The following is a 12,984-nucleotide window of genomic DNA, read 5'->3' as shown; positions in this document are numbered from 1 at the left end:
TGGCTGCTTTGTGAAGAATAGATTGAAAGGGTCAAAGGTGAGAGCCATCTCACATCCATGCAGGAACCAAGCAGGCAAGATATAAATATGAAAGTAGAAGAAAATAGTCTGGAAGAAAATCCCCTGAAAAGCCTACAGTGTTGGGGTATGGAATTCAAAACAACAACAAAACACTTATTTTGCAAAAGTTTGTAATGTGATTATATTCTATAAGTAAAATATAGATATGTGTAGGGGAAGAGAGAAGACCTACATGTGGAAGGGAAAAAATAAACCCCTGATATGATTTGGTTTCTAATATGCTGTATTGTGTGAAAAACCAAAATGATAAGCCCACTGGGGCCTTCCTAGGAATGCTGGGCTCATTTCCATGAACATGAAGCCCTTTGGAGGTCTTCCATGGTGAATGATGGGAACAGGGGTCTGACCTTTCTCAAACAGGGCAAGGAAATAATCATCTTGATACATCAAGACCATATTTGAGTCATATTTTTAAATGTAAGATAGAGTCCACTGAGAATGTTTTGTTTAGAAGTATTACTAATTCTGAGAAGCTAAAATAAATGTTTGTAGCAAGTAATCTTAGTCATCCATGCCTGAAAACTCAGTTGAAATTCTCTAAATAAGACTCCTTACTAAAACAATGTCAATAGTTTTCATCAACAGCAGTTGAACCTAGTAAGTGTCGATACTTTGGGTCTGAGTGGAGAAAAAAAGACCCCTTATTAGTTGCTTACAAAAACTTGGTAATTGGCCAAGCGCAGTGGCTCAGGCTTGTAATCCCGGCACTTTGGGAGGCCAAGGCAGGCGGATCACGAGGTCAGGAGTTCAAGACCAGCCTGACCAACATGGTGAAACCCTGTCTCTACTAAAAATACAAAAAAAATTACCTGGGTGTGGTGGCATGTGCCTGTAGTCCCAGCTACTCTGGAGGCTGAGGCAGGAGAATTGCTTGAACCCGGGAGGCAGAGGTTGCAGTGAGCCGAGACCATGCCATTGCACTCCAGCCTGGGCAACAGAGTGAAACTCCATCTCTAAAAAAAAAAAAACTTGGTAATCATCTGAATGCCCTTCCAAGGAGGATTAGCCAAGTAAATGGTGATCCATTTTCACGATGGAATACTCTGCCATCATTAAAAGGGACGATTAGCTCTATGTTTATAGTCACAAAAAGTTGGGATAAAGGGGATAGGAGATTGTCATGTCATAGAGCAAGGTTAGCGGAGACCTTTCTGGTGAGGAAGCATTTGAGCAGAGACCTGAAGGAAGGGAGGGAACAAGCTATGAGAAAAACTGGAGGCGGAGTGCTCCAGGCTGAAAGAACCACAGATGCAAAGAGCCCGAAGCAGGAGGGTGCTGTGCTAGCTCAGGACAGAAAGGCAGCAGCTGGAGCTCTTAGAGTGGTAAGAGGTGAGGGCAGGAAGGGAGCAGGGGCCAGGTCATGACTTGCATTTTTATCCTGCATGAAATGGAGGGCTCACAGAAAGTTGTGAGTAGAGAATTGACAGGAAGACTTATGTTATACAGATACTGTAGGAGCTTGGTGTGTGTCTCACGCCTGTTATCCTGGCACTTTGGGAGGCCAAGGTAGGAGGAATTGCTTGAGCCCAGGGATTTGAGACCAGCCTGGGCAACATGGTGTGAGACCCTGTCCCTATTTTTTAAAATAGTGTGTGTATATAAACTGCAGGGCTAAGATTGGAAGCTGGGAGCCCATTTGGAAGCTTATGTGATAATCCAGGTGAGAGATGATGGTGGCTTGGGAAAGAGTGAAGTTCTGAAAAGTTCAGTGATTTGCTCACAGGCCCTCAGCTGCTTTGTGGCAGAACAGGCCTTCTTAAGGGATTGCCTGACCCTTACTACTAAATTGTGATGGTGTTCCAGCTTGCTTCCTTCTCCCACATGTCAGATCAAAGATCTGCGAGACCACAAGCTGGACAACCGCATGGAGTCGTTCTTCCTGGCCGAGACTGTGAAATACCTCTACCTCCTGTTTGACCCAACCAACTTCATCCACAACAATGGGTCCACCTTCGACGCGGTGATCACCCCCTATGGGGAGTGCATCCTGGGGGCTGGGGGGTACATCTTCAACACAGAAGCTCACCCCATCGACCCTGCCGCCCTGCACTGCTGCCAGAGGCTGAAGGAAGAGCAGTGGGAGGTGGAGGACTTGATGAGGGAATTCTACTCTCTCAAACGGAGCAGGTCGAAATTTCAGAAAAACACTGTTAGTTCGGGGCCATGGGAACCTCCAGCAAGGCCAGGAACACTCTTCTCACCAGAAAACCATGACCAGGCAAGGGAGAGGAAGCCTGCCAAACAGAAGGTCCCACTTCTCAGCTGCCCCAGTCAGCCCTTCACCTCCAAGTTGGCATTACTGGGACAGGTTTTCCTAGACTCCTCATAACCACTGGATAATTTTTTTATTTTTATTTTTTTGAGGCTAAACTATAATAAATTGCTTTTGGCTATCATATTTTGGTTATCATGTTTTACATATTGGGCTGTCTCATGAGATTTCATTCAAAGAAAGGATTGGTGGCTACGGGCAATTGTGACTCTAGTTAATTTTCTCATGCAGCTGGAGAGACGGCTAAATGCGGTTAGCTGGCTCCAAAGATCCTAGGGGTCGATAGTTGAATCTCCCTTCCTTTTCTGGTGTCTTTGTGGAAAGTGTTGTCATAAATGTATTTCTTTGTTAGTTCTTGCTCCAACATGTGCTTCTTACTTTTTTTTTTTTTTTTTTTTTTTTGAGACAGAGTCTCACTCAGTCACCCAGGCTGGAGTGCAGTGGTGTGATCTCGGCTCACTACAACCTCTGCCTCCCAGGTTCAAGCAATTCTCCAGCTTCAGCCTCCTGAGTAACTGGGACTATAGGCGTGCATCTGGCTACACCGCATCTGGCTAATTTTTTTATTTTTATTTTTATTTTTTGTATTTTTAGTAGAGATGAGGTTTCACCATGTTGCCTAGGCTGGTCTCGAACTCCTGACGTCAGGTGATCCACCCGCCTCGGCCTCCCAAAGTGCTGGGATTATGGGCGTGAGCCACCATGCCCCGGCTGCTTCTTACTCTTTAGTTGACCTATCTATCCACCTGTCCTTCCAAGCAACGAAGATTTATTAAGCACCTTTTTTCTTTTGAGACAGGGTCTCCCTCTGTCACCCAGGTTGGAATGTAGTGGCATGATCACGACTCACTGCAGCCTCGACCTCCCAGGCTCAAGTGATCCTCCCATCTCAGCCTCTGGAGTAGCTGGGACCACAGGCACACACCACTATAATTTGCCTGATTTTTAAAAATTTTTTTGCAGAGACGGTGTCTCCCTATGTTGCCCAGGCTGATCTCAAACTCCTGGGCTCAAACAATCCCCTGCCTCAGCCTCCTGATTAACTGGGATTTCAGGCGTGAGCCATGGGGCTGGGCAGGCACCTTTGTGTGCCAGCCGCAGCCCCAGAGGTTCAGCAGCAAACAAGGCAAACAGTTTTTATTCTTGTGAAACTAAATTTCTAGCAGAAAGAAATAACCTAGTAAATAGATAAAGTAACATTGTGATCAGTTCCATGAAGAAAACACGGGGCTGTGCTAGAAAATAATGGGGAAAGATAAGCTGCTTTAGATAGGGTGGGTGGAAAAAGCCTCCCTGAGGACGTGAGCTTTTAATTATGTAAAATTTTATTGCTTTTTAAAATTTTATTTTCTTGTAACTTTAATTTTTTCTTTTTACATTTTTATAAACATTAGAGATGGGATCTTGCTTTGTTGCCCAGGGTGGTCTCGAATTCCTGGGCTCAAGCAATCCTCCCATCTCAGCCTCCCAAAGTACTGGAATTACAGGCATGAGCCACTGTCCCTGGCCACAAAGTTGTTTTTTTTTTTTTTGAGACAGGGTCTCACCCTGTTGCCCAGCCTGGAGTGCAGTGGCGCAATCACGGCTCACTGCAAGCCCTGCAAGCCTTGCAATCCCTGACCTTCTGGGCTCAAGCAATCTTCCCACCTTAGCCTCCCGAGTAGCTGGGACAACTGGAGCATGCCACCATGCCTGGCTAATTTTCCTAATTTTGTATTTTTTGTTGAGATGGGATTTTGCCACGTTGCTCAGGGTGGTCTCAAACTCCTGAGCTCAAGCAGTCTGCCTGCCTTGGCCTCCCAAAGTGCTAGGAGGCATGAGCCACCGTGCCTGGCCAGGATGTACTATTTTATTTTATTTTGTTTATTTTTTTATTTTTATTATTTATTTTTTTATTTTATTTTTTATTTATTTTATTTTATTTATTTTTTATTTTTTTATTTTTATTTTATTTTATTTTATTTTATTTTTATTTATTTTCTTATTTATTTGGAGACAGGATCTCACTCATGCCCTGGCTGGAATGCAGTGGCATGATCTGAGCTCACTGAAGCCTCCACCTCCCAGGCTCAAGCGGTCATCCCACCCCAGCGTCCCAAGAAGCTGGGACCACAGGTGCATGCCACCATGCCTGGCTAAGTAAAATTTTAAATAAACAAAAATGGAGCGAACAGGACATCCATCCTTTGTGTGCTCATCACCCAATTTCAACAAACTAGCTTCAAAGATGATGAATTCATGGCCAACCTTATTTCATTTATATCCACACTAGATTATTTAGGATTCCAAACATTTTATTCCTAAAAGTATTTCAGAATGCATCCCCAAAGCATGCCTATAAAAATAAATCATTATTCCTTGATATCCTCTCCAATGTTCAAAATGTTTTGTTTCATAACTTTGTATTATAGTTTGTTTGCATCAGGACCCACATAGGGTTGATTTATATATTTGAAATTAGATGATATATCTCTGAAATGTCTTTTAATTTACAGGAATTCTTTCCCTCTCCCTCCCTCCCTCCTTTCCCACTCCTCCTCTATTTTCATTGCAGTTTGTTTGTTGAAGACAACAGTTGTATGTCCTGTAGGTTTCCATATTATGGATTTTGTTAATTGCATCTCTGAGGTATTTATTATATAACTGTTTTTTAAAGTTGATATTAAGATCTAGAGACATCATCAGATTTGGATTTTTACTTTTGTTTTTATTTTTATTTGTGTATTTATGTATTTTGAGACAGCGTCTCACCCTGTCACCCAGTGGGGTGATCACAGTTCACTGCAGCCTCACGGGCACAAGTGATTCTCCCGCCTCAGCCTCCCGAATAGCTGGGACTACAGGCCCACACCACCACACCTGGCTAATTTTTAAATTTTTTGTTTAGATGGGGTCTCGCTATGTTGTCTAGGCTGGTGTTTTTATTTTTCAAGAATAAGCACTGTTGTTTCTTTTGGTCAAGAGACACATGATGTCTCCTTGCCTGTTACTAACAGCCATTTGTTGGTCATTGCTTGGATCCATTATTTCAACAGGGGTTTCAAAATAGTGAGATTTTAATTAGTCTAGACTACTTCTCTTTTTTTTTTTTTTTTTTTTTTTTTTTGAGATGAAGTTTTGCTCTTGTTGCCCAGGCTGGAGTGCAATGGCTTGATCTCGGCTCACCGCAACCTCTGCCTCCCGGGTTCAAGCAATTCTCCTGCCTCAGCCTCCTAAGTAGCTGGGATTACAGGCATGCGCCACCACACCCAGCTAATTTTGTATTTTTAGTAAAGACAAGGTTTCACCATGTTAGTCAGGCTGGTCTCGACCTCCTGACCTCAGGTGATACACCTACCTTGGCCTCCCAAAGTGCTGGGATTACAGGTGTGAGCCACCATGCCCAGCCAAGGCTAGACTACTTCTCTAAAGAAAGACTTCCTCTCGTCAACTATTTGGGTTCCTTGGGGCACAGTTCATTCAGGAAAGCCAGGATAAATATTTGATTCTTAACTTTTATTTTTTATTTTCCAGAATAATGCATCATTTTCCTAGCATCTTCCAATTGTGACAATGAAGTTTTGTTTTTCAAGTATTGTGAACTCTTGGATTTAAACTCATTTGATGGTTTTCAGTTCATTGAAATTATTTTTCTTATCAAAGCTCAAATTGTCCCATTTCTGGCCAGTGGAAGCCTCTCTTCAAGTTAGCCCTGAGTCCTGTTAACACAACCCCAATAGTCTTTGATAGTGTCCTGCTTTCTGGTATTACAAGATGTTCCAAGCTCAGCTGATCCCGTTCCTATCCCAGCCCTGAATCAACTGTTTCTCTAAATAGCTCAGGAGGTGACTTTTAACCAGGAATTTGTCTGGCTTTATCTGCCAGCCTCATCTTTGCCCATGAACCTTGGCTAATTCAGCTGCTGATCATTTTCTTCAGTACCATGGCAAACCTCTGGCTACCTTGATAGGCAGGGATATACCTCCTGCCCTCTCTTCTATTACTTTGCCTCAAATAGAGACTCAGGCCTACACATAATTCCCCATAACCTAGACGAGAACTGCTATAACTTTGAAGAAGTCTTGACTGAAAACTGAGGCATAATGGAAGGAAATTACATCATCTACTAGCTAACAGCTACTATTAGCTATGACTACTCTTAGAACCACAGTCCACTTCATTATTCAGGCTTCTTTGTGGCCAAGGCCAGCTCATCCCCACACCCAGGGATACCCTTGATCATTAGTCAACACCCCGGATTCCAGGCCAGATCAGAGAGACGAAAGAAAGTCCTTTCCTAAACCCTGCTCTTCCCTAACTTAGAAAGTTGTACTTTTCTATGAATTCATTGGCATGAAGTTGTCCTATCTGTTTTGTTCTTTTTTTTTTGAGAAAAGATCTCGCTCTGTTGCCCAGGCTGGAGTGCAGTGGTGTGATCACGACTCACCGCAGCCTTGACCTCCCACACTCAAGCAATCCTCCTGCCTTAGCCTTCCAAGTAGCTGGAACTCCAGGTATGCACCATCACACCTGGCTAATTAAAAAAATTTTTTGTGTGGAGGCAGGGTTTTGCCATGTTGCCCAGAGTGGTCTCAAACTCCTGGCATCCAAATGATCCTCCTGACTTAGCCTCCAAAAGTGCTGGGATTACAGGTGTGAGCCATCATGCCTGGCCTGTTTTTTATTATTAATTATCTATGCCTTCTCTTTTTCTTGATTAGTCTTGCCAGATATTTCTTATTGTATTTCTCTTTTTTGAAGAACAAACTTGGGACTGACTTGTTGCTGTCAAGTGTATGTTTGTCTGTTGTGCTAATTTCTGCTTTGATCTTATTTCCTTCCTTCTACTTTCTTTGAGTCCGCTGGAATTGCTTATTACTGTGGCATAATCTTGTGTGTAGGATATCTTCCATTTCCCCCTGTGGATGTGCTTTTCACCCTTTTTCACCCTATTCTTTGCCCCAAGAAATTCATTATCCTCTGTTCTCGTGGTCTGGTATGAGCTACAATTAATGGGCTCATTCTTCCTGGCTTCCAGTTGGGTTCATCCAGTGGGGAGCCCAGACAGGAGACTGGTGAAAGGGAGTGGAGTGAGTTCAAGGGCGTTTATCCCTCTGGCTCCCTTCTTGCAGGATTTGCTTCAGGCTGGCTACATCTCTCAATCAAAAGGTATCATTTCTGACTGGGCATGGTGACTCACACCTGTAATCCCAGCACTCTGGGAGGCAGAGATGGGAGGATTGCTTGAGCCCAGGAGTTCAAGACCAGCCTGGGCAACATAGTGAGATCCTATCTCTATATATATGTATATAAAAAGAATATCCTTTTGATGAGTTCATGTCCTTTGTAGGGACATGGATGAAGCTGGAAACCATCATTCTGAGCAAATTATCGCAAGGACAGAAAACCAAACACTGCATGTTCTCACTCATAGGTGGGAATTGAACAATGAGAACACTTGGACACAGGGCGGGGAACATCACACACCGGGGCCTGTGGTGGGGTGGGGGGATAGGGGAGGGATAGCATTAAGATAAATACCTAATGTAAATGATGAGTTAATGGGTGCAGCAAACCAACATGGCACACGTATACATATGTAACAAACCTGCCCGTTGTGCACGTGTACCCTAGAACTTAAAGTACAATAATAAAAAAAAAGTATCATTTTATCCCAAGGTGCCCATCTCTACACAACTTTTTATTTTCAGGTGGTGGTTAATTTTATGTGTCAACCTGGCTGGACCACTGGGTACTCCGATATTTGGTCAAACATTATTCTGAGTATTTCTGCAAGGGTGTTTTTGGATGAGATGAACATTTTAATTGGTGAAGATTACCCTTCATAATGTGGATGGGCCTCATTCAATCAGCTGGAGCCTGAAGAGAATGAAGAGACGGCCTCTCCCTTACATGAGAGGGAATTCTCCAGCAGCCCGCTCTGGGACTTCATCTATACCACTGGCTTTCCTGGGTTTCAAACCTGCCAGCCCACACTGCACATTTGGACTTGCCAATCTCTGCAACTGTGTGAGCCAATTCCTTATGATAAACCTCTTTCTATACACACACATATTCTTTTTTTTTTTTTTTTTTTTGAGATGGAGTTTCACTCTTGTTGCCCAAGCTGGAATGCAGTGGCACCATCTCGGCTCACTGCAACCTCTGCCTCCCGGGTTCAAGTGATTCTCCTGCCTCAGCCTCCCAAGTAGCTGGGATAACAGACACCTGCCACCATGCCTGACTAATTTTTTGTATTTAGTAGAGACGAGGTTTCACCATGTTAGTCAGGCTGGCCTCCAACTTCTGACATCAGGTGATCCACCCACCTCCGCCTCCCAAAGTGCTGGGATTACAGGTGTAAGCCACCTCGCCCTCCTTACACAAACATATTCCATTAGTTCTGTTTTGTAATTCTGACTAATACAGTAACCATTCTCTTATTCCCTTCAGGCTAGGGATAGGATTGGCTGTATAGGATTACTGTATTTTCCCTTGCGGTTCTCTAACACTCTGTCCACACCTTTGTAAGTAGTCTCTTTATTAAACCTTCCACTAATTTTTCTAATTTGAATGAGCCATCTGTTTCCTGTCAGGTTCCTGGCTAATAGAGACCATTATGACGAGTACATATCCTTAAAGTCTAAAGTTAATCACATATGCTAATTACCTCAATTTAGCCATTCCACAATGTATATATATTTCAAAACAACATGTACTTGATAAATATATACTAATTTTATTTGTCAATGTAATTTTTTTGTTTGTTTGTTTGTTTTTTGAGACGAAGTCTCTGTCGCCAGGCTGGAGTACAGTGGCGCGATCCCGGCTCATTGCAACCTCCGACTCCCTGGTTCAAGTGCTTCTCCTGCCTCAGCCTCCCGAGTAGCTGGGATTGCAAGCATGTGCCACCACGCCCAGCTAAGTTTTGTATTTTTAGTAGAGCCGGGGTTTCACCATGTTGGCCAGGATGGTCTCGATCTCTTGACCTCGTGATCTGCCTGCCTCAGCCTCCCAAAGTGCTGGGATTACAGGCGTGAGCCACCACGCCCAGCCTTGTCAATATAAAAATTTTTAAAAATCATTTATTTAAAAAAAAAAGGCCAGGAACAGTGGCTTAAGCCTGTAATCCCAGCACTTTGGGAGGCCAAAGTGGGTGGATAGTTTGAGTCCAGGAGTTTAAGACCTGGGTAACATGGCGAAACCCTGTCTCTACCAAAAATAAAAAAATTAGCTGAGCATGGTGGCTCGCACTTGTAGTCACAGCTTTTAGGGAGGCTGAGGTGGGAGATGTTAGTGAGGATGTGGAGAATTTGGAATTTTGTTTTTAAAATTTTTATTTATTTATTTATTTATTATTTTTTGAGACAGGTTCTCACTCTGTTGCCCGGGCTGGAGTGCAGTGCCGCAATCAAAGCTCACTGAAGCCTCGACTTCTGGGGCTCAAGTGATACTCCTACCTCAGCCTCCCAAGTAGCTGGGACCACAGGCGCATGCCACCACGCCTGGCTAATTTTTTATTTTTTGTAGAGACAGGGTTTTGCCACGTTGCCCAGGCTGGTCTCGAACTACTGCGCTCAAATGATCTGCCCGCCTCAGCCTCCCAAAGTGCTGGATTACAGGCGTGAGCCACCGCGCCCAGCCCTGGAATTTTCATCCATTGCTAGCGGGGATATAAAACGGGGTAGCTGGTTTGGAAAACACTTTATTGGCTTATCAAAAATTAAACATTGCCCAGCCTGGCCAACATGGCGAAACCCCGTCTCTACTAAAAATACAAAAAATTAGCCAGGCATGGTGGCGCACGCCTGTAATTGCAGCTACTCGGGAGGCTGAGGCAGAAGAATTGCTTGAATCTGGGGGGTGGAGGTTGCAGTGAGCCAAGGTCACGCCACTGCACTTCAGCCTATAAATAAATTAATTAAAATTAAAGATTAAGTTACCATGTGACCCAGCAATTCCACTCACCCAAGAGAAAACTAAAATGAATTACGTCTACACAAAAGTTTGTACGTCAGTTTGTAACAGCATTATTCATAATAGCTAAAAGTGGAAACAATCCTAGCATTCATCAACTTACAAATGATTAAAATGTGGAATATTCATACAATGGCATATTACTTGACCACTAAATGGAATGACCTACTGATAAATGCTGCAACGTGGATAAACCTTTAAAAATATATGCTAAGTGGAAGAAGCCAGACATAAAAGGCCACATACTGTGTGATTCCTTTTATATAAAATATCTAGAATAGATTAATCTATGGAGACAGGAAGTAAATTAGTGGTTGGCAGGGACCAGGGGCAGGGAAAATGGGGAGTTACTCTTCATGGGTATGGATTTTTTTGATGGGTGATTAATATGTTCTGGAATTAGATAGTGATGATAGTTACACAATATTGGGAATATACTAAAAACCACTGAATTGTACTTTAATAGTGTGAATTTTATGGTGTATGAATTATATCTCAATTTTTTAAAAAGACCATAAAATAAAAAAGAAAACATATATACCCCACACACCCCTCTCCTACCCCTCCCCACCAACCCATGAAGCAGCAAGTTTGCAAGCCCAGTGTGGTATAAATCCAGCCTTGAAAAATAAAGTTAGCAAAGAAAACATTCTGCATGCAGAGAGGTAAGCTATTCTGTTTATTGTATTTTTTACAAACTCCCTTGCAATAGTTAATAGTTTAGTGTCTTACAGTAGTGTTTTTGAGACTTTGCTCATGACCCTTTAGTGGGTCAAGAAATAAATTTAATGTGTCCCACTAACTTTTTAAATAATGAAATAGAATGGATTCGAAAATATTAGAGTGCCTTGTGTGGATTCTTGACAAGAACTGAGGACAGGAGCACATTACTAATCGCACAAGGCTAATTGCATTACATTGTGGGAGAGACAGAGGAGGGGATGTGAAAAATGTGCACGTTGGCTAAAAGCAGTTTATTTGGTGAATTGTCATCTCATTTGATTTTCTGGTACATGAGTGTCAATATGACCATCAAGTTATAATGGCAGAATAGTATAGTATTTATTTATTTATTTATTTTTTTTTTTTGAGATGGAGTTTTGCTCTTGTTGCCCAGGCTGGAGTGTGGTGTTGCGATCTCGGCTCACTGCAACCTCCGCCTCCCGGGTTCAAGCAATTCTCTGCCTCAGCCTTCCTAGTAGTTGGGATTACAGGCACCTGCCACCACGCCTGGCTAATTTTTGTATTTTTAGTAGAGATGGGGTTTCACCATCTTGACCAGGCTGGTCTTGAACTCATGATCTCGTGATCCACCCGCCTTGGCCTCCCAAAGTGCTGGGATTACAGGCGTGAGCCACCACACCCAGCTGTGTATTATTTAATTTTATATCAAAATAGTTTGTAGTTAGTTGTGAATTGAAGAGTGGAATTTTTTTTTTTTTTTTTTTTTTTTTGCAATATTGCCATGACTTTCAACTGAGTTTTGGTTAGGAATTTGCAGTGCAGTTTTTCAGAAAGTTTATAATCAGATAAAAAATTTTGGATGTGCAATAATTGTAGCATTTTAATTGAACTAGTTCAAATTGCTCTTAAGTTGACTGTTTTAATGCTACAAAGAACAAGAATAATAAGGTGAAAAACATGGGAAGAGTAAATGGAAATATTGGAGAAAATATCAACTCTAATCAACAGACTGACATCATTTGCATCTTGTTAAAAAGGGTAAATGCAAGATTTGCTTTATTTATGTATTTATTTATTTATTTTAATAGAGATGGGGGTCTCACTATGTTGACTAGGCTGGTCTCAAACCCTTAGCCTTGAGCAATCCTCCCATCTCAGCCTCCCAAAGTGCTGGGATTACAGGCATGAGCCACCATGCCCAGCCAGCTCACACCTGTAATCCCAGCACTTTGGGAGGCCAAGGCAGGCAGATCACCTGAGATCAGGAGTTTGAGACCAGCCTGCCCAACATGGCAAAACCCCATCTCTACTAAAAATACAAAAATTAGCCAGGTGTGGTGGCAGGCGCCTGTAATCCCAGCTACTCTGGAGGCTGAGGCAGAAGAATCACTTGAACCCGGGAAGCGGAGGTTGCAGTGAGCTGAGATCACAGTCTCTAGTCTGGGTGATAATTATGAAACTCTGTCTCTCTCTATATATATATATACATATATGTGTGTATTATTTTATGAAATGTGTAAAACCAACAAAATGACATGTACACCAATGCATTATAATGATGTTCTTGCAAATGAGAACTTAAAACCATCAAAACTTAAAAGATGCTTGGAAACATGACATGTTGAATTAGTCAGTCTCTCGAATATTTCCAAAGAAAGAAAAACATATATAATGTGATAGGCAAATTTTATGATTCATGTTGTGACTGTCAGTGAGAAAGCCTTATTATCATTGTATTGGGTTGCATATTATGTGCCAAAAGAAAAAAATTGCTCACATGGTTCCTGAAAAAAACATTTATTCTCTGGCATGTATTTTGGTGTGTATAGTTTTTATGGTGTAGCAAGCCATAAAAACATACCTTAGCAATAATAGAGTTTCTCCTTGAATCTATACTGTTGCGGAATGTTGGAAACAATGCTTATTATGCTGTTACAATCTCGTATAGATTTTGTAATCCAACCAGAGAAAGTCAAATTGAAAGTTGCACA

General features: G+C 42.3%; 2 protein-coding genes and 1 non-coding gene across 5 annotated transcripts in view; all 3 read left to right on the top strand.

Moving 5' to 3' along the window:
- The window catches only part of MMP24-AS1-EDEM2 (MMP24-AS1-EDEM2 readthrough), a 162,759-nt gene extending 160,280 nt beyond the window's left edge, over positions 1-2,479 (top strand). The window contains exon 15 of the mRNA NM_001355008.2: positions 1,910-2,479. Coding sequence (NP_001341937.1) covers positions 1,910-2,410 — 501 coding nt within the window. The 3' untranslated portion in view covers positions 2,411-2,479. The remainder of the gene's footprint in view (positions 1-1,909) is intronic.
- EDEM2 (ER degradation enhancing alpha-mannosidase like protein 2) overlaps positions 1-2,479 on the top strand; it is a 31,973-nt gene extending 29,494 nt beyond the window's left edge. For all 3 annotated transcript variants that reach the window (NR_026728.2, NM_001145025.2, NM_018217.3), the window contains one exon: positions 1,910-2,479. Coding sequence is in view for 2 of the 3 variants with exons in the window: in NM_001145025.2 (NP_001138497.1) it covers positions 1,910-2,410 (501 nt within the window). In the remaining variant the exon portion in view is untranslated. The remainder of the gene's footprint in view (positions 1-1,909) is intronic.
- On the top strand, positions 636-707 carry LOC124900460 (small nucleolar RNA SNORD56). The gene has a single exon (XR_007067763.1). It is a non-coding gene; the product is annotated as a small nucleolar RNA SNORD56 (small nucleolar RNA).
- Positions 2,480-12,984: the final 10,505 nt, after the last annotated feature.

The sequence above is a fragment of the Homo sapiens genome, chromosome 20 (assembly GCF_000001405.40).
Source record: "Homo sapiens chromosome 20, GRCh38.p14 Primary Assembly".
NCBI classification, from domain to species: Eukaryota; Metazoa; Chordata; class Mammalia; order Primates; family Hominidae; genus Homo; species Homo sapiens.
The sequence above is the reverse complement of the archived record's forward strand: the minus strand, read 5'-3'. Positions and strand labels throughout refer to the sequence as shown.